Raw genomic sequence first — 27,612 nt, forward strand, 5'->3', positions numbered from 1 at the left:
GAAAGCGTAAGCATCTGCCTTATCAATACTGTGGCAACCAGTGCTCTGGGGCACAAATGCGGCTTTGTAATTTTCCCCCACTGGTGTTCTCTCGTATTTCCCCCTTTATACTAAACGCTATGTAAGAGTGGGAATTGTTTTATGCACCTCTTGTTTTTGCATCCCTTTGTGCCTATTATGGTACTTCATGCAGAGCGGGTGTATAGTAAAGAGTTGATTGGGCTTCTGGGTGAAGAGTATGATCTAAGCGAGAATCACTCAAGTCTTTCTCTCTCCAACACACACACACACACACACACACACTTTTTAATCAAAAAGGACACATTTCCTCCATAAAACAAAACACCAGTGGGAAAGTAGTTTACAGTGACATTTTAAAGTCCTGGATGCCCAGAAATCTTATTTTCATGTCTCTTTGAATAGGAAGGAGAGAAGTATGATGGAGGAGGGAGAAAAGAAGGTCAACTATAAGGGTGTGCTGTTCCATTCCAAGGCTGTGTGAAGTCTCTTGGAGTCTCTTACTTCCATTTCTAAGGCTGAGTAAAGCAATTAGCAGCAGTGCTTTTAAGGAAGGGCAAATCAATTCCTTTCCACTAAAAAATTACCCATGGTTCAAATTTCTCTCTCTCATGCAAGAAAAAGTACAATTATCTCAGTGTTATATAAATAATACCAAAAGGATCCAAAAACAAAAATACAAATAAAACAATCAAAACATTGGTGGTGGTGGAGGGTGTCTTTCCTTCGTGGATCTCTTGCTCTGGGGGAAGCCAGCTGCCACGTTGTGAGCAGCACTATGGAGAGGCCCAGGTGTGAGGAACGGAACCTCCAGCCAACAGCCAGTGAAGAAGTGAGGTCTGCCAACAACCATGTGATGAGCTCAGATGTGGATTATTAAGCTGTAGCACAGCCTTAAAATTACTGCAGCTCTAGCCAACTAGTTTGACTGTAAACTTGTGAAGGACTATCAGCCAGAACTAAGTTGCAGACCAGAAGGAAATGGGTTAATATATTTAAAGTGCTGAGCAAAAAAACCCCTATCAACCAAGAATTCTATATCCTGCAAAACTATTCTTCAAAAATGGAGAAATTAAGACATTCCCAGATAAACAAAACCAGAGGACATTCACTGCTAGTATACCAGTTCTAAAAGATATGTTAAAGGGAGTCCCTTCAGGCTGAAATGAAAGGACACTAGACAGTAACTCAATGCCATATAAAGAAACAAGAACTCCAATAAAGCTAACTAGATGAATAAATATAAAAGCCAGTGTTATTATTTATTTTTAACTTCTCTTTTTGTTTCCTATATGACTTAAATGCACAAAGTAATTATATATCTATATTAGTGGGCACACAATGTATAAGATATAATTTGTGACAGTAACAACATAAAGGAGGGGCAGAGCTGTATAGGAGCAGAGCTTCTTTTTCCTTCATTGTCACTGGCAAAGCTTTTATTATTTATTTATTTATTTTTATTTTAGATTTGAGGGTACAGTGCAGGTTTGTTACATGGATATATTGCATGACGCTGAGATTGGGGCTTCAACTGAAACCATACAAGCAGGGTTTTAAAAATCTAAGCTGGGGTTAATTCAAACTAGATTGTTAAAAACGTATGAATGTTTACTGTAATCCCCAAGGTAACCACTAAGAAAATAATTATATACAGAAACAGAAATGAGGAAAGCATGAAAATGACACACTAAGAAAAAAATCAAACAAAAAAGGCAGTATTACAGGAAATGAAGAACAAAAAACGTAAGATATACAGAAAACAAATAGCAAAATGGCGTAAGTCCCTCCTTACCAGTAATCACTTAAATGTAACTGGATTAAACTCACCAATTAAAAGACCGACTGGCAGAATGAACAAAACACATGATCTAATGATATGCTGTAAGAGAGACTCATTTTAGAGAAAAAGACACAAAAAGGTTGAAAGTGAAAGGATGTTTATAATGAATGGCTATAGTACTATTAGACAAAAGTGACTTAAAGTCAACAACTGTTACGAGAGACAAAGAACCTCATTATATAATATACTGACAAAAGGGTCGATTCAAAAAGATGATATAACAGTTATAATCATATATGTACCAGACAACAGAGCCCCAAAATATATGAAGAAACTATTGAAAGGATTGAGGACAGAAATAAACAGTTCTACAATAATAAATGGAGACTTCAATATCCCTCTTTAAGTAATGGATAAAACTTGTGCAGAGATTAAAAAGGACATAGGGAACTTGAACAACACTATACACCAATTAGACCTGTCAGGCATAGAAAGAATACTCCACTCCACAAGAGCAGCATGCATATTTTTATCAAGTGTACATGAAACATTCTCCAGGACAGATTATATGTTAGGCCACAAAACAAATATTAATAAATTTAGAAAGACTAGAATCACATAAAATCTCTTCACCAGCCACAATGGAAAAAAACTAGAAATTAATGACAGCAGAAAAACTAGAAAACTCACAAGTGTATGGAAATTAAACAACACATTCTTAAACAAGCAATGGGTAAAAGAAGAAATCACTAGGGAAATTAGAAAATACTTTGAGAGAAATGAAAACAAGGCCACAACATACCAAAACTTATGCGATGCTGTGAAAGCAGTACTCAGAGGGAAACTTATAGCTGCTAACAGTCTATATTAAAAAAGAAGAAAGAGCTCAAATCAATAACCTAACTTTACACCTTAAGAAACAGAAAAAGAACTAAATTCAAAGCAAAAAAAAAAAAAAAAAAGAAAAAAGAAAATAAAGTCTAGGATGAAGATAAATGAAATAGAGAAGAACAACAGACTCAACAAAACCAAAAGGTGAATCTTCGAAAAGAATAACAAAATCGACAAACCTCTGGCTTAGACTAAGAAAATAAGAAGATACAAATAACTAAAACCAAAAATGAAACTGAGGACATTACATCTCACAGAATTCAAAAGGATTATAGGAGAATATATTGAAAAACTGTACGCCAACAAACTAGACAACATAGATGCAATGGAAAACTCCTAAAAACACACACATTACCAAAATTGACTCAAGATAAAGAAAATCTCAACAGACCTGTAACAACTAGTGACTGAAACAGTAATCAAAATTCTCCCCGAAAAGAAAAAGTACAGGATCAGATGGTTTTATTAGTGAATTCTACCAAACATTTAAAGAATTAGCACCAATCTGTCTCAAATTCCAGAAAATACACTCTTAAATCATTCTATGAGGCCAGCACTACTCTGATACCAAAGCCAAAGACACCAAAGAATAGAAAATGGGCTGGGCGTGGTGGCTCACTTTGAGAGGCCAAGGCAGGCAGATAGCTTGAGCTCAGGGGTTCAAGACCAGCCTGAGCAACATGACAAAACCTGGTCTCAAAAAAAAAAAAAAAAAAAAAAAATATATATATATATATATATATATATATATACACACACACACACACACACATATATATTAGCCAGGCATGGTGGTGCGCAACTGTAGTCCCAGCTACTTGGGAAGCTGAGGCGGGAGGATCACTTGAGCCGAAATCATGCCACTGTACTCCAGCCTGGGTGACAGAGCAAGATTCTGCCCTGTCTCCAAAAAATAACGAAAAAAATTAAATTATAGACCAGGCTTGGTGTTCATGCCTATAATCCCAACACTTTGGGAAGCCAAGGTCGGGGGATCACTTGAGTCCACGAGTTCGAGACCAGCCTGGGCAAGAAAGTGAGACCCCATCTCTACATAAAATTTAACAAAATTAGCCAGGGATGGTGGTGCATGCCTATAGTCCTAGTTACTTGGGAGGCTGAAATGGGAGGATCACTTGAGCCTGGGAGGTTGAGGCTGCAGTGAGCTGCAATTGTACCACTACACTCCAGTCTGGGTAACACAGCAAGACCCTGCCTCCAAAAAAACAAAAACCAAAAGAACAGAAAATTACAGACCAATATCCCTTATGAATATAAATGAAAAACCCTCAACAACAACAAAAATTCCTCAACAAAATACCAGCAAACTGAATCCAAGAGCATATTAAAAGGATGGTACACTATGACAAAGCCAGATTTATCCCAAGAGTGGAAGGGTGGTTCAATGTAAGAAAATCAATATAATATACCACATTAACAGAACCAAGGGGGAAAAAAAACATGGTATCTCAACTGGTGTAGAAAAAGCATTTGTCAAAATCTAGCACCCCACTACACACACAAAAAAGGTTAACTATGTGAGGAGATAGATATATTAATTAGCTTGATTATAGTAATCATTTCACTATGTATATGTATATCAAACCATCATGTTGTATACCTTATACATATACAGTTTTTATTTTAAAAATTCCAGTTATCTATTCATAAAAACACTCAGAAAGCTTGGAATAAAAGGGAATTTCCTTGACTTTATAAAAAACATTTATGAAAACACAGCTAACATCATACTCAATGGTGAAAGCTTTCCACTTGAGATCAACAACAAGACAAGAATGTTTGCTTTCACCATTGCTATTTGATATTGTACTGGAAGTTTAGGCCAGAGCAATTAGGCAAGAAAAAGAAAAGGCACCCAAATTGGAAAGGAAGATGTAAATCTCTATTTGCAGATGACATGATCTTACAGAGAAAAAAACTCAAAGAATCCATAAAACAAATACTAGAGCTAATAAACAAATTCAGCAAAGTTGTAGGGTACAAGATCAAGACAAAAATCAGCTGTGTATCAAAGGACTGTATCAAGAAAGCAAAAAGGCAAACTACGGAACAGGAGAAAATATTTGCAAATCATGTAACTGGTAAGGGTCTAGTATCCAGATTATATAAAGAACTCTTACAACTCAACAACAGAAAAATAACCCAATTTAAAAATTGGCAAAGGATTTGAATAGACCTTTTTCCATGGATGTACAAATGGCCAACAAGCACATGAAAAGATGCTCAGCATCATTAGTCATTAGGGAAATGCACATCAACACTACTTTGCACCCACTGAAATGGCTATAAATAAAACAAAAAGGAAAGTAATAGGTGTGGTAAGGATGCGGAGACAATGGAATGCTCATGTACTGCCTTTGGGAATGGAAAATGATTTAGCTGCTGTGGAAAACAGTTTGGCAGTTCTTCAAATAGTTGAGCAGAATTACTGTATGACCCAGCAATTTCTACTCCTAGGTATATACCCTAAAGAACTGAAAACAAGTAGTCATACAAATGCTTGCACATGAATGTTCACAGCAGAACTATGCACAATAGCCAAAAAGTGGAACCAACCAATGTCTTATGATTTCCTAGGTCTACCAAGAGATGAATGAATAAACACATTGTGGTATATACATGTCATGGAATATTATTCAGCCATTTAAAATAGAAGGGGGCACTGATATGTATTACCATATTGATGACTCTCAAAAACATGCTAAGTGAAAGCAGCCATAAGAGATCACATATTGTATGATTCTATGTATATGAAATATCCAGAACAGGTACATCTATGGAGACAGAAAGCAGACTGGTGATTGCCAGCGGCAGAGGGCAAAAGTTAAATAATTGCTTAATGGATACTGGGTTTTATTTTGGGGTAATGAAAATGTTGTGTAACTTAACAGAAGTGATGGTTGCACAATACTGTGAATATACTAAATGCCACTGAACTGTTATTTTAAAATGATTAATTTTATGTGATTTCACCTCAATTAAAAAAAAATTGGATTTAGAAAACAAAAAAGAATTCATGGATATCCCTTCGATGAATCTAAAGTTTGGTCTCTGAGATTATAAACCATGATGCAGACTCGAAATTGTCTTGCAGATGTTATTTTCTGCATATATGGTGTTTAAACAGTTACCAGTATTTTAACAACTTGGCAACTTTTAAAAACATCTGGATTTCAGGCTTTTCTTGAAGAAGTCTCCATGTGATAAAAGTTTGTTATTGCCAAGAAGCAGCTGCTTCCTTGAGATGAAGCATATTACTGTGCAGTTTGCCACAGTTTCTTCCATTTTCTATTGTCAATTATTATCATGCTTGTCTTACTTATTATTTTAAAGGGGAATTAAGAATAAAAGCGGGATATCTGTTATACTCATGTTCCCACTGAAAGTGGAAAAATAAATAAAAAGTCCAGTTGTTTACTCCTAGCCTGTTTCACTCACTTACATCTCCTCTTCGAACCCACGGTTGCTGGAATTTGCAACTCCTGTTCTTTTTGGTATAATAAAAGAATCCAAAAACTCTGCACAAACCTAGAATGAAGTTAATCAAGTATACTTTATATACTTGTCTGCATGAAAAATCAAAGGTAGGCAGGTGCAAATAAATGTCCAAATAATTTCGTTAGTCAAGGTTAAATAGATTGGGATTGAAGGCAAAGCAAAATCCATGGTTTGGTCACTTGGAACTATTTTCTCTACTATTGCACCAGTATTAAAATGGGGTAAGGGGAGGCATCAGCTCTGGTTGACTAACAGGGAAAACAGAAATTTGAAGATAATGCATTGGATAATATTATTATCTTGTAAGTACTTCTCTTTAGAAGATACTGTGCAGATTCCTATGAAAAATATTTATGGTAACGTGGCAATTTTTTTCCCCACAGAACCTTGGGATTTTTTTCAGTAGCTCTGAATTGACGACATGTTACATAGAAGTCTTTGTTGCAGGGTGGCAGTGGGGTGGAGAAGAAACATAATTCCTGAGAACTCCATCAAGCATAATCTAATAAACATTAAATACCTGACTTCATTTCATCACCAACAGGTGTTAGCCCCATTTTAGAGCGCTGGAGAGGACAAGGACAGGGGAGGTGATGTGAAGGCTATATCGTAAGTCTTCTGGCTTCATCTACTTTTCTGTCTAAAACGAGTCTTCAGCTTCAAAGATTTTTAAACCCTATCACTTGTTTTCTCAGAGCCACAGTGTAACGTGGTTTCTAATAAGGGATAAGATCTCTTATCTGGGGTAGATAAGGAAGTTGGTTATGTCTGACAGGGGAAGGACACGTGAGACCACTGCTGTTATAACTGGCATTGCCTTCTCCCATTCCTATGCCAATGTGGGAGGCCATGCTTCCTTCCCTGGAGACACAGCCTCAGTGCCTGCTCCAAACACACTAGAAACTGAGTTCCGTGAGGGTACGGGCTTTAGTTTATCCACCTTATATATAGACATCACATGCAGCATAGCAACTGGTACTTAACACATTTTTATTAAATGAATGATGTTATCATCTAAAGGGAATAGCAGAAAGCAAAAGGGAACCTATTTAGCCTGGTCATAGAGAGAACGTTGGATACGGGTTTGGTAACTGTGAACAGGTGTGAACAGGTTCTTCCATGGCTACATACATTACATTGTTTTACCTTTAGCTCTATGATCTATGAGATCTCTTACTGGCTATAAATGTGATACTGGAAATGAAATATAAATAGAAAACAAGGATAGTTGAAAGATACGAAGTAAGAGAATCCTGAGAATGCAATCTAGTCTAAAGAGAGTCTCTGCTGATCGGGCTCGGTAACCTCTAAGACTATTATGCCAGGCTGCCCAGCAAACTAAAATAACAATGACTGAATTCCTTTATTAGACCAAAAAGAAGAGAGAACATTGGCCAGGCGTGGTGGCTCATGCCTGTAATCCCAGCACTTTGGGAGGCCAAGGCAGGTGGGTCGCCTGAGGTCAGGAGTCTGAGACCAGCCTGGCCAACATGGTGAAACCCCATCTCTACTAAAAATACAAAAAATTAGCCGGGCATGGTGGCAGGCGCATGTAGTCCCAGCTACTTGGGAGGTTGAGGCAGGAGAATGGCATGAACCCGGGAGGCGGAGCTTGCAGTGAGCCGGGATCGTGCCACTGCACTCCAGCCTGGGCGACAGAGCGAGACTCTGTCTCAAAAAAGAGAAGAGAGAACATGAAATTTACTGCTACAAAAGAAATTATTTTAATTCTTAAGATTTCAAGGATATCTTTTTATAATATTATAATTAAAATAAAAAGCTCTATCAACGTGAAGGCCACGACAGGAAAAGATGCTTAAGATCTATTAAAGTAGGGAAAAAACCAAATTACAAAATACATAAGTTTGATTTTGGTTTTTGCTTTAAAAATGTTTTACACGTACATAGAAAATATCTGGGGGCCGGGTGCGGTGGCTCACACCTGTAATCCCACCACTTTGGGAGGCCAAGGCAGGTGGGTCGCCTGAGGTCAGGAGTCTGAGACCAGCCTGGCCAACATGGTGAAACTCCGTCTCTACTAAAAATACAAAAATTAGCCGGGTGAGATGGCGGGCACCTGTAATCTCAGCTACTTGGGAGGCTGAGGCAGGAGAATTGTTTGAATCCGGGAGGTGGAGGTTGCAGTGAGCTGAGATCCCACCATTGCACTCCAGCTTGGGTGACAAGAGTAAAACTCTGTGTCAAAAAAAAAAAAAAAAAAGAAAAGAAAAAAAAATCTGTAAGAATATAATCTAAACTGTTAATAGTAATTAACTCCTGGGGGTAAAATTATGATAAAAGTTTACTCTCTCTTTAGATTACGGGGAAAAGCACCTTCTACAATTTATATTTTTGTAATGTTTGAATCTGTTTTAAAAATGAACTTGTACTATCTTTGTAATCAGAAAAGAAATGTAAAAATAAAATGAAACCAAAACAATTTGTCTCCTAAAAATATCTTTATCAAAAAAAGAGGTAAAGAGAAATAATATTTAATAACCTAAAATAGTGTTGTGAAACGAGGTTCTGTGGAACACTGAGGCTCCTCAGAGGTTCTTTGAGAGCCAGTGCAAAACAACAGGTCCCCACCCAAACTCCTAAGCTTGAGCATCTGACTCTCAGTAGTTTAATACCAAAGTTCTGCTGTCAATAAGTTTGAAATTTTCTGTGTTAAAATATGTGTAAATAATTTATTTCTGGGCTGGGCGTGGTGGCTCATGCCTGTAATCCCACCACTTTGGGAGGCTGAGGCAGGCAGGTCACTTGAGGTTGGGAGTTTGAGATCAGCTGACCAACATGGAGAAACCCCGTCTCTACTAAAAATACAAAATTAGCCAGGCATGGTGGCTGACGCCTGTAATCCCAGCTACTCAGGAGGCTGAGGCAAGGAGAATCACTTGAACCTGGGAGGCGGAGGTTGCAGTGAGCTGAGATCGTGCCATTGCACTCCAGCCTGGGCAACAAGAGTGAAACTCCATCTCAAAATAATAATAATAATAATAATAATAATAATAATAATTTATTTCTGAATGTTTCTCAAAGCACTTCCTGGGGTTTGAATAGGTTCCCCAGGAATTGAGATGTGTTCTTGTGTTTCCTAAGCACAGATTTTGATAACTAGCTTCTTGAATGCAAGGTCTGCCGCATTTGTGAGCTGCCTGGGTTTAAGGTCTAGTACCCTATGCATAGGTTCCTCTGCTCAAGAAGACTAAGGCAGCAGGCAGCATCTGAACAGCCTCTCTGAATCATGGTCCATCCAGAAGCAGAAGATTCAGGATCACCACAGACTATTTTCAGATAAATGAGAAGTCAAGACTGAACAATTAGAAATAGGTCGATGACTTTTTAAAGCAACTTTCTTGAGAGAGAATGCTTTTCTTTGCCAAATTCTTCTTTCTCATCACTAGTCGTTTTTCAAATAGGATACGGTGACTGCCTATAAATCCTTCTTGTTTTCAGAGGTCTTTCTGCTACAGAACCTTCAAGTATTTTTGCAGGTTACTTGTATGTCTCTAGCCTCGTTTTTTAAGATAAAATCTGACTTCAGGAAATATAAATGAAATGTTTCAATATTTGAGCTAAAATATCTGCATCCTCTAAAGTTAAAGAATGCTTTTTGGAAATTTTAATTTTTTTTGTTTGGCTCCCCATTATCTGTAACAATCAAAGAAAAGTCTTTGAAATGAAATCCCTTTCCCTGTTTTGTTTATTCTTCCTGACTTTCACAGTCCTACCTTCATCTGGATTCTTATTGGGCCGAAACTAACATGGCGTTTTCTGTTTACTACCTCATCTGTGCTTACTGACGGAGGGCAGCAGAGCCTGTCTGTGAATTTCCACATCAGAACCACCAGGGGGAGCTCACTCACACAGGAATCCCAGCCCATCTACGAGGGGATGGTGGGAAAAGCAAACCAACTTTCTTCAGTAAGAATGACCCTTCTGCACGTGGATGAATTATCGCACATAAGCGACAGCTTACTGACAATGGTGGTGAGATGAAGAGCCCTTGAGAAAATGTATTTAGAGAAAGCCCAGCAGCCATATGCCTCAACGACAAGGCTACTGCCCAGAGCAGGTACATACTCTGCCTGTACCTGTTTTTCAAGACTTGGCTTGCTAAGCTGTACAGTTTGAGGTCCAGCGAGTCTGGTCCCTGGAGTAGCTATCACAATGCTGGTGAGCTGGGCCATGGGGAACGTTTTGGCTATGGTTGCAGTCTGCCCATTGACGACACGGACGGGGTGGATGGAATTCTGGGATGTGGGAAGGGTTGTGGGGGTGAACTTGGTCAGCATGACGGGCCTCTGGATAAGCTGAGGAGCTGCGAGCATGGGAGGTGGTGCTGGGGCAATAGGAATGTTATTCTGGGCCACAGGCTTGGGTCGAACCTATAGGGGAAAGAGAGAATAATTATTGTATTACTTAAGCTGCTCAAGTCCTATAAAAGCAAATCTTCCACACTCTATGTATGAAATGGTGTTTAATACACTTATTAATGTTCATTTTGGTACATTAATTCTATAGACCTCAGGGCATATAATCTTATACAAGACTCATCAGCTCTTGAGGTCCAAACCTCACCCTAGAACATAGCTTTTGATTCTAAACCCTGAGCTCCCTCTTCTATACCATGCCACCTCTTCTAGCTGAGGTCAAAGGCCTAATCCAGAGACTGGTCCCACCCAGAACTTGTGCACAGTATAGTCATAATGTTGCCAATAGCCTTAACTCGCATTTGAAATTTCTTCATATCCACAGCTTCAGTGCACCCCCATTTCTGGCCCTCTAACTCCCTGTTCTTGGCCACTCCTCCTCTCAGTCTCCTTTGTGGGCTTACTCTTCCTCTGCCTCATCCTAAATGTGAGTATTTCTTAGGATTTTTTTCCCTGGCACCCCTTTTCTTCCCAATGTTCTCATTATTCCTAGGAGCTTTTGCCCATCTCATGGCTTCAATTACCATCTATGTACTGAAGACTCACACTTTTACCTCAGAACCTGAGACACTTCCTGAACTTCAGAATTATACAATACTTGAATATCTCAAAAGTTCAAAATCAACATGTCTAAGACTCATCAATTTCTTCTTCCAATCTTCTCTTCCTCCGATAATTGCCTCAGTAAGTACCCTTTTCTTGACAAATTTTGGAATCACTCTTGATGATTCCTACCCCACCCTCTACTCTCTAAATACTTCTAATATCTGTCTACTTCTATCCTCACTCCACTATCTACTATCCTAGCTTATGTTTGGCTCACTAAAAACAGTGAAAAAAAGTTACAGTTAAAAACATGAGGTCAGCCTTGCTTGGGTTCAAATCCTAGTTCTACCACTCACTAGCTGTGTAACCTGAGGTAACATACCTGATTTTTAATAGCCAGTTTTTGTTTTTTTGTTTGTTGTTGTTGTTTTTGTTGTTTGAGATGGAGTCTCGCTCTGTTGCCAGGCTGGAGTGCAGTGGCGCGACCTCGGCTCACAGCAGCCTCCGCCTCCCAGGTTCAAGTGATTCTCCTGCCCCAGCCTCCTGAGTAGCTGGGGCTACAGGCACATGCCAGCACGCCCAGCTAATTTTGTATTTTTAGTACGGACAGGGTTTCACCATGTTGGCCAGGATGGTATCAATCTTCTGACCTCGGGATCCACCCGCCTTGGCCTCCCAGAGTGCTGGGATTACAGATGTGAGCCACTGCACCCAGCCATAAGCCAGTATTTTTCAAACTTTTAAAACTGTGACCCTGTGGGCAAAACGCTTTCCCCTTATGCATGAAGCTTGACCTTCAATTAACTCTTTAGCTCTGCTCTCCTGGAAATAAGAATGTCAACTATATTACCAGGCAACACTGCTTATGATAAAAATGACCCTTTCCTGGCCGGGCACAGTGGCTCACACCTGTAATCCCAACAATTCGGGAGGCTGAGGCTGGTGGATCACTTGAGGCCAGGAGTTTGAGACCGGCCTGGCCAACACAGTGAAACCCATCTCTACTAAAAATACGAACATTAGCCAGGCATGGTGGCACACACTTGTAATCCCAGCTACTTGAGAGGCTGAGACATAAGGATTGCTTGAACCTGGGACGTGGAGGTTGCAGTGAGCTGAGATAGTGCCACTGCACTCCAGCCTGGGTGATAGAGTGAGACCCTGTCTTAAAAAAAAAAAAAAAAATCCCTTATTGCTAAATCAAATCTGGATGGGCTTGAGGGGACCCCATGATTTGGGCTTCCCTAAGTGGGGTGACTCTCATAACTTGGGCACATCCATTGTGGGGACCTTGAAGCCATGCCTATGTAGTTTTTATAAGATACATTGGCTCCTGTGGGCATAAGGCTTCTATGCCAAGGTGGCTTTCCCACTGTCTTAGATAAGGAGCTTATTTCCTTACACCTGAGCTATCCTTGGACAGCTGTAGGGACTGCTGTATGGACTCATTGAAGACAAATGTCTGATGCTATCTTGCTCACAAGCTGTGGTTTCTGTCCTGTATCATTCCAAGTAGACTGGTGCCAAGTGTGGCCCATGAAAGTCTTGTCGGTATGAATGTCTGACTGAACTTAAAACGACCCTGTGGTGGGTGCTACTGACTTAACAGTAAGAAATATATTTTACTCTGTAATCAGCATGTGCCTATAGACATGTATCTCTAAAACAAAAACTTTCTGAAATAGAGAACACAGTATGTGCTATGTACTCTTAATAGTTCATATTCTATTCTATTCATTTTATTTAAACACTCTGGTTACAATCCACTAAACTGCTTTCACAACAAGTGGGTCATGATCCACTGTTTGAAAAACATGGACTAAACCTTAGATTCCTTACCCTAAAAAGAGTAATACCTATTTGCATAGGGTTGTTGTAACAATTAAAATGGATACTCCATGTAAAGTGCCTAGCATAGTACCTAGTATGTAGCAAGATTCTCTCAACATTGGTTATTACCATTATTGACAATGTCTTAACTGTTCTTCCTGCCCACAGTCTTGACCATCCCCAATTTATTCTCTGCACAGAGGCAAGAAGGAATTTTCTAAAACATAAATCTGACCACATCAAGTGCTTGCTTGAAAATGCTTTAATGAATGCCTGCTGCTCCTAGGATAAGGCCCAGGTTCTTGCATAGCCTACAAGGTTCCACCAGCTCTGGCCCTAGTGGACTTCTCCAACCTCAACTCTAACTAACTCTAGCCTGCATGAGCCACATGGCCCTCTGTGCTCAGCCACAGCAAACCTCCTTTGGTTCTTTAAACTTAACACATTTCTCCACCCTGGAACTACATACATGTTCTGTCCTCTGCCTGGGACATTTTTATTCTTCTTTCAAAGTTTTATCAGGCTAACTCAGCTAGGATTTTAGGTCAGACTGAATGTCAACTCATCAAAGAAAGCTTGAAGAAACCTTCTCTAATACTCTTAAAAATAGGCAGGCAGGCCGGGCGCGGTGGCTCAGGCCTGTAAACCCAGCACTTTGGGAGGCCGAGGCAGGTGGATCACCCTGAGGTCAGGAGTTTGAGACATTCCTGACCAACATGACAAAACCCCGTCTCTACTAAAAATACAAAAATTAGCCGGGCGTGGTGGCACATGCATGTAATCCCCAACTACTTGGAAGGCTGAGGAAGGAGAATCGCTTGAACCTGGTGGGTGGAGATTGCAGTGAGCCTAGATCGTGCCACTGCACTCCAGCCTGTGCGATGGGAGCGAAACTCCATTGCAAAAAAAAAAAAAAAAAAAAAAAAAATAGGCAGGTATCCCTCCCATGTGCTCTCAGACTACCCTCTGAGGTATTTACTAGGGATTTATCTGATAAACAAATGATATCATCTTATCTCATATTAGCACTGCCCATCCTTCTCCCCAGAGGCTATTTGGAAATCATTTACACTACTGACCACAAAACTCCTTCTTCTTCTCCCTTTGTCTGAAAACTAGGGCCTCAGATAGGAACTCTCAGCCTTCCTACCAAGGAAGTCAACACTCCTCAAGGTCCAGAATGGGGAAATCTTGACATTTTGCACTGGGAATGGTGAAAGTTAGCCTAATTGCTGGAAGAACACTCTCAGGAGAGTATGGTCATGCAGAGCTGCTCGGGCCTAGGGAGAAAGTCCTCTGTACAGACCCCTAGCCTAAGCCTTTAGAAGCAAGGCTTTGCCTTTAAGCATGATTCTCAAAACCATCACTTTCCAGGGCAGAACTGAAGAATAGTTTCTACTAGTTGGTTTAGCTGTTGTTTCCTTCCCTACTCTTTTTGGCATGTAGGAAAGAAATAAGAAGTGTTAATTGCATTCTTTCCCCACTGCCAGGCAGACTTTGGCTAAATTCTTCTAGTAAGTTTAAGGTTTATAATGGTTTTAATTATTTTAAATTTAGAAAATGTTCCCTTTCCTTTACTTCCCCCTGCTACTGCCTTTGGTCATTGCTAATAAACCATGATGACAAAATAAACTTCTTCATAGTACAGAAATCAACAGTCAGAATGTTTAGCTAAGCGGGATAGACAGCTGGGCTGACAAGCCCCATTACAGGCTACTTAGAAAGAGCCCATGAGGATTTCTGTCCCATCTAACCTATCATTGAGCTTGTCATTGGTTTACTCACCTGTGGAAGAAAGTTTGGACGTGGAGTGAGTCTAGGAGGGGGGATAAACTGTGGTACTTTGATGGGCTGAGGAGGTGTTGCCTGAACCTGCTAAAAAATGAGGAAGATAAATAAACCAGAGAGAACAATTACTCTTCAATATCAAAGCTAGTATTTTTAGCATCACTATTCTTTGGATCAGACAATATTTTCTACAAGCTTTCATCGTAAGTTAATCATCTGAATTAACACTGCATTAGGAAACTTTTTAACTCTCCCACCTGTGTGCTTTACCCTATAAAATGAACCAACCACACTTCTGTTTCCTCCTACACCTAATGGAGAACATAGCAGGCTCAGTAAATCTTAGACAATTTTCTTTGACACTCAAGAACTTTTGCATTAACATATTTTAAAAGTCAAGACTGGATCCAAAGTAAAATCAAACTTGCTGCTTAGCCAAATAGGCTTTTTCCTGATATAAGCTAACAGTGAATGGCTTTATTCCTATAGAAAATTTTCTAACTCTCAGTATCTGGTTGAGTGACCTCGTTGCTTCTCTAAGGATTCCTGGATAAGCGGTGAACCTTCACTTTATTGCTCTCTAGTTTCACTCACCACTGGTATTATTCAAAAGCCACCAAGAGCTCTTAGGTGCCATTTTAAGGGAATTTTACATCAAAATTTAGATATATTTCTCCCAAGCTTCTGAGAATATCAGTTTTCTAAATGGCTTGATCCTAGAACTCTCATGAAAATTCTTGTTCAAGTACTTCCTCCTTAAAGGGATTTTTTTTTTTTCCTGAACAAAACTTGGGCACTGACACGGTTAATTTGTGAGTTTCTTGAATATTTTTAAAGTGCCTCAACTAACTCCAGTTCTTTCTGGGTACAATCAATTTAAAGAGATATTAAAACTAAAAGAATTATCAGGGAGTTTTCACCAAGGCAGTAATACAGCACAAGAGAGTTTAAGCACTCAAGTTTCACAGGAAAACACTGTAGAGAGAGTGAAGGGAGAGGGAGACATAAATGAAACAGTGTGTATGCCTCTGTGAAGGAGACCTTCCCCCTAAAATCAAGTCATACTTTGACCTCAGATAATGCACTGAATTTAGTCCTTGGTGTCAGGACGCTTCTGTAGTGATTTGAGCAGATAGCAGAAATGCCATATTCCCTTGTCAGCCCCAAAGGGGAATTTGGTATGCTAGAAGAATGATGGAAACTGAGAAATCCAGCAGGAGCCTAGAAGGGATATACTATACAAATGCGTATCCTAACCTTCTCATGTGATCACACATGAGGAGCAGCTGCTGGCTTACCAGAGTGACTGTGTTTTTTGCCACAATTTGGACAGCCTCTGCCCCAGGCCCAGTGACCTTACTAGACGTCTGGAGGTTGACTGGTGTGTTCTGCACATCAGTGCTGAGCACAGCCTTCTGACTGTTGATGGCGGTCACCATAGCAATGGTAGGTCTCTGGCCCACCACAGAGGCAGGCATGGTCGCAGTTGCTGCTTTCAAGACGAGAGGTAGTGTCTTTGTGGTAATCATAGAAGCTGTAGTTACAGTCTTCTAGGAGACAGGGAAAACAGATATTAGGACACTAAATCTAAACTAAATAATAAACTAAATCCCACTAAACAATATGCTGCTTAACCTTGGAAGAAAACAAAACAATAATTCTCATAATCAAGTTTCTCTGTAGAACAACATTTCTTTTGTGTACATACAGCATACTCCTTACTACAGAGAAAGGCAATCTCTAGTTTTCAAGAGTTCTCATATTGGTGTCACTTGTAAATGGGTAAGTTCATAGTAATAACTGCAGACTAATTCAGGCACAGGGTTTTCAACAACAAATGGGGTAGGTATACAGATACAGAATGTGAGTATACTTAATTCTTTTAGTTTTTCTAGTTCTTTGCTTGCTGTCAATTAATTTAAACTTTGTACTAGTTGCAAATCAATGAGGTACATGTCATTTCTATCCTAACTGCTACAAGCTCACCAATATGAAGAAAGCCACCATACAGTTCTGGATATCTGCTTCCTGAGACACAAAGGCTGGGGTAAAAGGACAGTGTCTTTTTCTTTCTTTTTTTTTTTTTTTATGGTGTCACCCTGGAGAGAAGGAAGGGAAACTCACATAAGGATTAGCATGTCGCCTCTGAGGTAGTTACCCTGGAGGCAATGAGTCCCAAAGCTCCAGATAATGAAACATGTTAGCCAATGAGTATATAGTAAATACCAGTTCTTGATACTAAAGGGATATTATGAGTTACTACCTATAATCTTTTCTCTGGAGAACTGCTGCAGAAGTGATCAAAGATGCAATGAAACATGACAAGGTGAAAACAAACATCTGAGTTTTAAAAGCCTGAGAGATCAGAAGATGAACTGAGGTGAGAGGACTTGACTGATGCTCCTTAAGTGCTATTGCAGCTTTGAAGCTGTACTTTTCTAGACTTTTTACTAGAATAATTAAAGGAATCAGTTACAAAACAAACAAAAAAATATAAACAAACTCATTATATGGCCTAAACATCTATCTGGAGATAGATCAACATTTCAGGAACATGAAAATTTATCTGGTCAAACTCATTGATTCTGATTTTGATACTACTCCACCTTTACTGTATATTTGCACTGTCTGATTTGGCAGCCACTAGCCACAAGTTGCTATTTAAAAGGAAATTAATTGGCCAGGCGCAGTGGCTCACACATGTAATCCCAGCACTTTGGGAAACCGAGGCAGGTGGATCGTCTGAGGTCAGGAGTTCGAGACTAGCCTGGTCAACATGGCGAAAGCCCGTCTCTACTAAGAATACAAAAAGTAGACCAGGTGCGGTGGCTCGTGCCTGTAATCCCAGCACTTTGGGAGGCCGATGCGGGTGGATTGCCTGAGGTCAGGAGTTCGAGACCAGCCTGGCCAACATGGTGAAACCCCATCTCTACTAAAAATACAAAAATCAGCCAGGCCTGGTGGCAGGCACCTGTAATCCCAGCTACTCGGGAGGCTGAGGCAAGAGAATTGCTTGAACCCGGGAGGCGGAGGTTGCAGTGAGCAGAAATTGTGCCACTGCACTCAGCCTGGTGAGAGAGCGAGTCTCCGTCTCAAAAACAAAAAAAAAAATTAGCCAGGTGTGGTGGCAGGCGCCTGTAATCCCAGCTACTCGGGAGGCTGAGGCAGGGGAATCACTTGAACCCGTGAGGCAGAGGCTGCAGTGAGCCGAGATCACACCATTGCACTCCAGCCTGGGCGACAAGAGTGAGACTTCGTCTCAAAAAAAAATAAATAAATAAAAATAAAAACTAAATTAATTAAATGTAATTAATTAAAACAAAAACAAAATTAAAACATCAGCTCCTCAGTTGCACTAGCCACATTTCAAATGTCAAAAGTCGCATGTGGTTAGTGGTGACCAAACTGGACAGTGGAGATAGACGGTATTTCCAACATCACAGAAAGTTCTATCACTGTGCAATACCAGTGAAAAGTACCTCCATTCTCTCAGAAACACATCTGGACAACTTCCCTTATGAATTTCTATTTCAGTGTCTATGCTTTTCTACTTAGGGGTATTAAGTTGTTTGCTTCTAGGGAGTTACTTATCTCTATTTTTCTGCCTTATGCGCATATACACATATTATCTAATCTTTTAAGATCATCATCCAAATCTTTGTTTCCTCTTCGCTAAGTGGCTTATTCTCTTTGCCATTGCCTCCTTAAATGTGAAATGAGAGTAAACGCGGAACACTGATATTTATTTTGGGGTGCAGTGGATCACCTATCTTCGATCAGTGATGAAAACCAAATAAAAGCCAAATGCTATTTATTATTAGAAATGGTATATTAATAGTAGTGTAACAGCAAGGACTGACTGCATTATCAGCAATTTGTAGTAAGTGTTTTTACCACAGTGTATTAGCCCTTGTTTTCCATTTAAAACATGTCGATTTAAAGAACTTCTGAAGTGGTGATCCAGTCACACCAGATGGCGTTCAATCCAGTGCTATCGTGGATTGTGGGAGTAAAGCTCTAGTCAGAACTCACTGACATGGATTTTAAAGAAACGCATGTTGTTACTGCTTTAAGAGAAGTCAATGTACTTTTGTTTCAAGTAAATCATCAATATTTTGAATAACTCTAAACTGATGATTCTACAAAATACTGACTAAAGCCTCAAACTCACCTGAATTATATACTTACCATTAACCCAACACTTTAAAAACACTGAAACCTAACAAGTTTGTTCACATCTTAGGTTAGCAGTTTTCTTTTATTTTACAACTATGGTTATGGCTGATTTCACTACATGATTTCTAGCATCTACATACCTGTTTGTCTAGTATACAGGCACAAGACCTAGTACTGTATGCTTCAGTGAAAACTTTTTGAAGAATATATTTACTATTTATTGACACCAAGACCCAGGTAGTGCTTAGATCTTTACCCCTACTCTGGTGCTTCTTCTTTCCCAAGTATTAGGGAACACAAACCAAACTCCTGGGTTTAGATGACAAAAGGAATTTAGAACTTTGAAATCCAAGTCTAATTAAAATGTCTGAACTGTTCTGGAAGGAGGAAGAAGAGACATAGAGAAGAAAGGTGTCAAACGACAAATTATTATTATTATTATTATTATTATTATTATTATTGCTGTTTATTTATTTTTGAGACAGGGTCTTGCTCTGTCACCCAGGCTAGAGTGCAGTGGCGTAATCACAGCTCACTGCAGCCTTGACCTCCTGGGCTCAAGTAATCCTCCCATCTCATTCTCCTGAGTACCTTGGACTAAAGGCAGGTGCTACCACACCTGGCTAATTTTTTTTATTTTTAGTAGAGACGTGATCTCGCTATGTTGCCCAGGCTGGTCTAGAACTCGCTCTCACGTAATCCTCCCACATCGGCCTCCCAAAGTGTTGGGATTACAGGCATGAGCCACCACACCCAACCAAGAGATTTATTTATATGAAAGCTGTGATTTGTTTTTAGCTAGTTAACAGTGTCTAAGTATGATCACCTTTAAGAGAAGGTAGCTGTTTCTCCACAGTTTCATGATGGGGTCCTTTATTTTGACAAAACCCAAATTGCATGAGCTAGAAGTTAATGCAGAAATACATGGCATGGCAAATACTGCCAATAGCAAAATCCTTTTTATTTATTTATTTATTTGCTAAGTCATTGTTGTCTGCCTGCCAAATATGAAGTATTGATTTAAAACAGATGGACTCAGGCTGGACACAGTGGGTCATGCCTATAATCCCAGCACTTTGGGAGGCTAAGGTGGGCGGATCACTTAAGCCTAGGAGTTTGAGACCAGCCTTGGCAACATAGTGAAACTCCACCTCTACAAAAAATACAAAAATTAGTTGGGCATGGTGACACACACCTGTAGTCCCAACTACTTGAGAGGCTGAGGTGGAAGGATCACCTAAGCCTGGGAGGTCAAGGCTGAGGTGAACCGTAATTGCACCATTGCACTCCAGCCTAGGTGACACAGTGAGACCCTGTCTCAAAGAAAACAAAATAAAATAAAATAAAATAAAATAAAATAAAATAAAATAAAATAAAATAAAATAAAACAAAACAAAATAAAATAAAACAGATGAACTCCAATATACAAATCAGAATTTAAGGGATTATTACTATGGGATCTAACTTCCACATCTGTTTTATATTATTTTGCTGGTTTAATTTTGAATGCAGTCATGATGTATACTCAAACAACCACAAATAGAAACTTTTCCCTTTTTTGTCTCCAAAGGTTTGTTTTCCATTTGGTTTTATTAACTGCTTTCTTCTTTACATTTGCATTATGCCATTAAAAATTAGAGGGCTGTGAATATAGGTTGGAGAGTATACCTGTATTTAACTGTTCTATTCTTTCACTTTTTCTGTAGATTGGAAAACTTTTAAAATACACCTATAAGCATGAGTTGACGTTAACTAAGTAAAGCAAACTGTTCCCATTCCCTCTCCCAAAAAGAATTCCTCATTGCTTTCTCTACGCCTTGGTATATGCCAATCACCCGACTTAGAATAAAAAACTTTCTCCTCTTAGCATCTCCCCCTGGCCCCCCGATTGCTACTTAATATTTAATTCTTTCTGAAGTTGTGTATTTAATATATGCCATATATAACCTCCCATTCGTCCTTGCCCTCATACATTAAATATATGTATTTAATATATGCCATATATAACCTCCCATTTGTCCTTGCCTTAGACTTCCCTATGACTGTTAAAAAACCCAGAAGCTCTGGCATGCTTTGGAGGGCTTGGCCTTATCTCCTCTCCATCGTTTCGTGGATCACACACTCCAACCACACCAGCCTACTTACGATTCCCAGGGCATACATTTACTATTTTGACGCCATCCTTTTGTTCATACTACTCTCTATACTTGTGAAGCTCTTTCCCCTTTGCTCTATCACTAAAATCCCATTCATCTGACAGGGCCCTGCTCAGATGCAACCCTCCTTGACAAGTACTTTCTGATCCCTCTAGTCAAAATTACTCTGTCCTCAAAATTTCTCTACATCTTAAATTTTTTTAATTCTTGAAAATAGAAACTCTCTGATTTGTGAATTTAGTCTCCACATTACCTAGAACAGTGCTTGCACACAGTAGGAACTCCACAAATATTTACAGAATGAATAAAAATTATTAATAATGATATACCAGACTTTTGGCAGGGACCACTGCTCTTTGTATACCAGAATCTACCACATAGATTGGTAGTACCAATAAATAGGTTAGTAGTGCCAAGCGCAGTGGCTCATGTCTGTAATCCCAACACTGTGGGAGACCGAGATGGGTGGATCACTTGAGCTCCGGAGTTTGAGACCAGCCTGGCAAACATGGTGAAACCCTGTTTCTACAAAAAATACAAAAATTAGCTGGGCATGGTGGCCTGTGCCTGTAGTCCCAGCTACCCGGGAGGCTGAGGTGGGAGGATGGCTTGGGGCAGGGGTTTCAGTGAGCTGAGATTGTGCCACTGCACTCCAGCCTGGGTCAAAGAGCCAGATCCTGTCTAAAAAACAAACAAACAAACACCAAAAACCAGATTTGTAGTTTACCTGTAAACTCAAAAACCAAAAACTCAGAGGATCCTTTTGGTTTTTAACATTAAACATTTGCATCATTTGCATTAAATAAAACAATATTTAAAAAAGGTTGGCAAAATCAATTAAATATGTCAGGTGGGCTACTGGATGGAGAGGTGCTATACAACACTGTTTTGGAGGCAGCCCTGGGCCTCTTACCATTCACCATCCCAAAGCAACACAGACTACCAGGGAAAGGAAAAGCTATTATATTTTGGAAATGCTTCCTTTGATTTTTTTTTTTTTTTTTTTTTGAGATGGAGTCTTGCTCTGTCGCCCAGCATGGAGTGCAGTACGATCTCGGCTCACTGGAACCTCTGTTGCCCGGGTTCAAGTGATTCTCATGCCTAAGCCTCCTGAGGAGCTGGGATTACAGGTATATGTTACCACGCATGGCTAATTTTTGTATTTTTAGTAGAGATGGAGTTTTGCCATGTTGGCCAGGCTGGTCTCAAACTCCTGACCTAAAGTGATCCACCCACCTCGGCCTCCCAAAGTGTTGGGATTACAGGCGTGTGCCACTGTGCCTAGCCTCCTTTGATTTTTATAACATAAAATGTTACTTGAACAGGATGTTTCCATGGGTTAAGACAGAAAACTCCTATGTAACAGGAAACAATGAATTCTACCACACTCCTTTCAGATAAACATTTTCTGATCAACCTGTACTTTGGAAAGAGAACAACCTAACCCAATTCTGTTTAAAACTTAAACAAAAATTATCCTCTAAACATTCTTTCAGAACTAATACAAGTGCTGGTAAGGAGATTTTTAAAGTCAGTTTTGAATGCCTAATTTCCAAATAGCCTTGGGGTGGTGATTAGGGTAAAAATTTATGTAGGCTGTCCTAGCTATCTGATTTACAACAGGGATTTTTCTTTTTCCTTCTTTGGTTTTATACAGTATTGGTATTGCTTTTTTCTTTTTTTTCTTCTTCTTCTTTTTTTTTTTTTGGTATTGAATGGCAGTACAGAAGAGTAGTTGAATGGACCTATTTTTCAGCCAGAACATCTAGGTTCAAATCTTAGCTACACCACATACCACCCTCCATGATCTTAGGTAAATTATGTAACCTCTCTGTGCCTTAGTTTTCTCTTCTAAAAAACAGAGATGGTGGGCCGGTTGCGGTGGCTCACACCTGTAATCCTAGCACTTTGGGAGGCCGAGGCGGGCAGACCACGAGGTCAGGAGTTCGAGACCAGCCTGGCCAATATGGTAAAACCCTGTCTCTACTAAAAATACAAAAATTAGCCGGGCATGGTGGCACGCGCCTGTAGTCCCAGCTACTCAGGAGGCTGAGGCAGAAGAATTGTTTGAACCCAAGACGGTGGAGGTTGCAGTGAGCCAAGACTGCGCCACTGCACTCCAGCCTGGGTGACACAGTGAGACTCCGTCTCAAAAAAACAATAACAAAAAAACAAACAAACAAAAAAACAGAGATGGTAATAATAATAACTTCCTCTTAGGATTAGGGTGAGGAGTATGTCCATTATGTAAAACACTTAGGAGACTGCCAGTATACAGTAACCTCTATTAAATGTTAACTTATCTTTAGTGTTCTTATAAAAAATTCATTCTTTACTTGCAAAATGTTGCACATGAACCAGTCCAATGTCCATAAACAGTGAACAGCCAACTGAACTATACTCTTTTTCTCTCTATATAAAGACACAGTGAAGACCTGGTGTTGGTTGTAAGAGGTATCCACGCTTAGGTTTCAGAGGATCCCAAAGTCCTTGAAGTGTGCAAAAATGAGTGTATTAAGTGTGAATGTATATTCTTCTGGAGAGGGATCTATAGCTTTCAACAGAGTCATAAAGGGATCTGTGACCTTCAAGGATCCAAGTATCATTTGGAATATCATTTCCAAATACGCCCTTTTTGTGTATCTTGATTGCCTCACGATTCTTAAATTGTATGCTTGTTTAAATGCCCTTTTTGGTAAAAACATTTGCACAGCTACACCAAGTTAGAATTTTATTAAGCTCCCATTTCTTTAGTTTTGACCTGTAGCTTTCATTTCAGATTCCCATCAGTGTATTAGAACAAATACATTTTCTTATAAATATGGGCTTAAAAATGAGTGTTTCTATGAATAGTGCAAATATAGCACTCTTCTTTTTTTTTTTTTGAGACGGAGTTTTGCTCTGTTGCCCAGGCTGGAGTGCAGTGGTGTGATCTCAGCCCACTGCAGCCTCTGCCTCCTGGGTTCAAGTGATTCTCCTGCCTCAGCCTGCCGAGTAGCTGGGATTACAGGCGCCTGCTACCAGGCCTGGCTAATTTTTTTGTATTTTTAGTAGAAATGAAGTTTCACCACGTTGGCCAGGCTGGTCTCAAACTCCTGACCTCAAGTGATCTGCCCACCTCAGCCTCCCAAAGTGCTGGGATTACAGGCATGAGCTACTGAGCCCAGCCATAGCACCCTTCCAAATGCTTCTTTCTATCTGGTCCCAAGAGCACTGATCCTGGAATAGCTCTATGCCTAGTTGCTAAGAATTCCAGAAGAGGTCAAGTCACAAACTTTTAGAACAAGTGTAAATAAATACCTCCAAAAATTCAAAATAAGGTTTTAATTCTGCTGTAAAGCAGATAATTGATTTTTGTTATTGACTACCTTTCTCCCCTTCTTCAGACAGGTGGGAAATCATTTAATTTTTGCTTCTTAGTAATGTTATTTCCTTCTGCCAATGATTACAAGTGATACTTATCTGGGTTATACTGTAAAAAAGCAATCAAAATAACTTTTGTTTAGTTCTAGCTGAGCTTAGTATAGTGTGAGACAGGACCCAGTTCTATATGACCAACAACAAATCAGTCTACAATCTGCAGCCTGCAATGTTCCATCCACACATTTACCTGTGAAGCAGTCAGGTTGGGAGAGGCTGCAGCTGACTGCTGGGCGTGGTGGTGGTGGTACTGCTGCTGTTGTTGTAGTTGCTGTAGTGGTTGCTGCTGTGCTGTTTGTAGTTTGTTTTCAGATTGTGGCAATGGCTGTATTTGGAACTTGTCCGGTTGTTCTTGCTTTACTATCAGGTTCTTCCGTAGCTGTTCAACTACTCTTTTCTACCAAATGAAGACAAAAAGAAATAAAAGATATTAGAATACTGCTCTATCAGCTGCACAGAAATATGCTCTGACATCTTTTCTATAAATAGCTTCATCTAAAACTTATTACATCTAAATTTACACAGGTTCTACATATGAAGAGCTTAAAGCATTTAATATACATTATTGGTAATATGAAACTGATGGTGTAAGAAATGTTTTATATATAAAGGGCAACTGAGGCACACAAATGAAAAATCTGAAGGAGATCACACAGCAGAGCTCAGATGTCCTATTATTAACTTAGCATGCTGAGAGCAGTATACAACGTAGCAGTAAAAAGCAGGACTCTGGAGCCATCCTACTTCAACTCCAATTTCAGTTTTGCTACTCACAGCTCTAAGATGTTGGGTAAGTTTATGAACCTACCTGTGCCTCACTGTCTTGCTCTTTAAAATGAGGTGGTTAACAGTACCCTTGAGGTTCTTATGAGCACCAAATGACTTGTTATATGGAAAGTACTCAGAACTGTGATTGGCACATTGTTGATCATTATTATTATTATTAGAGATAGTGTCTCTCTATACTGCCCAGGTTGGAGTACAGTAGCTATTCACAGGTGTAGTCATAGTGCATGCACTACAGCCTTGAACTCCTGGCATCAAGCAATCTTCTCACTTCAGCATCCCAAGTAGCTGGAACTACAAGCACACACCACTGGGCCCAGCTTATTATTTTTTGCATATGATAACACAGATACTAGCCATAGTAATTTTTATTAAGCAAACATCATGTATCTGTCCCAGTTGAAAACATTAAACAGACTGTTAAACAAAGAAACCTTGATCCCAGTAATATGCCATATAAACAACACATTCTAAATTACTGAAATGTGTAACTCATGAGCAGGACTTCTTTGCTGGGACAGGTTCTGTGGCGGTACACACGTTTGTTTAGGCAGAGTAGGGATTTAACTGCGTGGAGTGAAAAATTAATGTCAAAGTTCTTCAAACTTTCTAGGCCTTGCTCAAATCCAAGAGAAATGTGTTTCTGGATACCTTCATTATTATAATACACTTCAACAGCATGTAAGCCCCATGAGTGCAGGGGCTTATTTGGTTCACAACTATACTCTGCACTTATAACTATATTGCTGGCCCAACACGGTGGCTCATGCCTGTAATCCCAGCACTTTAGGAGGCCAAGGTGGGTGGATCACTTGAGGTCAGGAGTTCAAGACCAGCCTGGCCAACATGGTGAAACCCCATCTCCGCTAAAAATACAAAAATTAGCCAAGCATGGTGGCACACACCTGTAATCCCAGCTACTCAGCAGGCTGAGGCAGGAGAATTGCTTGAACCTAGGAGATGGAGGTTGCAGTGAGCCAAGATCATGCCATTGCACTCTGCACTCCAGCCTGGGTGACAGAGTGAAACCCTGTCTCAAAAAAAAAAAAAAAAAAAAAAAAAAACTATATTGCTCAGTAAATGTCCTTGTTCTCTTTACCTGATGTGTAAAGTGGTGGGACCAAAGACCAACAAATGGCTCATAAAGCATATAATAACTATTTGGGGCCATATTTGGGCTCTGACTCTCCTGCCCTAATAGGAGGAAGAAGGTATAAGCAGCATTCCTCTCATATCTCATACACTTTCAAGTTAGTTCATTAGCAGAGGTGTGCTATTTCTGATAAAAATAGATTGTGATTTTCTAATATAGATTATGAATGAAGAAAAAGAAGTGAATGAAGAGCTTTAAATAGTTAGATGAAACCATAAGAGCCAGGTTAATTCTCAAATGCCTGCTTATGGCTCTAACCAACTTCATCCCCCATATTCTCTGAAGAATCCAAATCTGTGGATTACTCATTTAACATATTTGAACATTAAAATATGTATAAAATGAATTTCTAAAATCTTTAAGTAAAAAAAAAAGTTCTCTTGAGAGTTGTTTGTTTTTATTTTTTGGTTTGTTTCTCTCTTTTTGTTTTTCTTTTTTTTTTTTTTTTTTTTTTTTTGGTTGTTTTGAAACAGGGTCTGGCTCTGTCACCCAGGCTGGAGTGCGGCAGCACAATCTTGGCTCATTGCCATTTCCACGCCCCAGGCTCAAGCGATCCTGTCACCTCAACCTACCAAGTAGCTGGGACTACAAGAGCGTGCTACCATGCCCAGCTAATTTTTTTATTTTTTGTAGAGATGGGGTTTCGCCATGTTGCCCAGGCTGGTCTCAAACTCCTGAGCTCATGCAATCTGCCCACCTTGGCCTCCCAAAGTGCTGGGATTATAGGCATAAGCCACCACGCCCGGCTGAGAGGTTTTTAGAAAAATATTTTTATTATTGATTCTTTTCAGACAACTAAAATATCATATAAAGGCCAATTTTGGGGGGAAAAATTCTGCTATGCATTATATTCTGCTAGCACTGCCTCTCTGAGTAAATATTTTTTTTTAAATGATGCAGAGTTTAAAGTCTTTGCAGAAACTATCTGCAGAATAATAAAAATGCAAATTAATAAAATATCAAATGCTTATAAAGTTAACTTTCAAGTCTTCAAAATTCTATTTCTCCAATATAAAAGGCAGAATAATTAAACTGCTGTAGTTTAGGAGAAGGCAAAGTAATAGCAGTGGTGCTGCAGATAATGTTGAGAATCTCATGTAAATTTTATTG

At 39.6% G+C, this 27,612-nt stretch overlaps 1 protein-coding gene across 55 annotated transcripts in view, besides 2 other annotated features; it reads right to left on the reverse strand.

Annotated features, from left to right (window-relative positions):
- Window positions 1–27,612, reverse strand: part of PHF21A (PHD finger protein 21A) — a 192,136-nt gene that overhangs the window by 25,688 nt on the left and 138,836 nt on the right. For 27 of the 55 annotated variants that reach the window (NR_147890.3, NR_165446.1, XM_047427105.1 and 24 more), the window contains 4 exons: window positions 24,754–24,960; window positions 16,110–16,361; window positions 14,809–14,898; window positions 10,309–10,602 (listed from right to left, as the gene is read on the reverse strand). Coding sequence is in view for 53 of the 55 variants with exons in the window: in XM_047427105.1 (XP_047283061.1) it covers window positions 10,309–10,602; window positions 14,809–14,898; window positions 16,110–16,361; window positions 24,754–24,960 (843 nt within the window). In the remaining 2 variants the exon portion in view is untranslated. The remainder of the gene's footprint in view (window positions 1–10,308; window positions 10,603–14,808; window positions 14,899–16,109; window positions 16,362–24,753; window positions 24,961–27,612) is intronic. The other 28 variants (XM_047427108.1, XM_047427085.1, NM_001352030.3 and 25 more) reach the window with 4 other exon arrangements.
- Window positions 10,314–10,511: a silencer, noted in NCBI's record as "fragment chr11:45986871-45987068 (GRCh37/hg19 assembly coordinates)". NCBI's record gives its function as "represses an EF-1alpha promoter that drives an FKBP-Casp9 reporter gene in an ReSE screen in K562 erythroleukemia cells {active_cell/tissue: K562}" and the evidence as "EXISTENCE:reporter gene assay evidence [ECO:0000049][PMID:32094911]".
- Window positions 26,636–27,533: an enhancer, noted in NCBI's record as "H3K27ac hESC enhancer chr11:46003193-46004090 (GRCh37/hg19 assembly coordinates)". NCBI's record gives its function as "activates a minimal SCP1, AML or CMV promoter by ChIP-STARR-seq in primed H9 embryonic stem cells {active_cell/tissue: H9 hESC(primed)}" and the evidence as "EXISTENCE:reporter gene assay evidence [ECO:0000049][PMID:30033119]".

This window comes from Homo sapiens, chromosome 11, assembly GCF_000001405.40.
Source record: "Homo sapiens chromosome 11, GRCh38.p14 Primary Assembly".
Taxonomy (NCBI): Eukaryota; Metazoa; Chordata; class Mammalia; order Primates; family Hominidae; genus Homo; species Homo sapiens.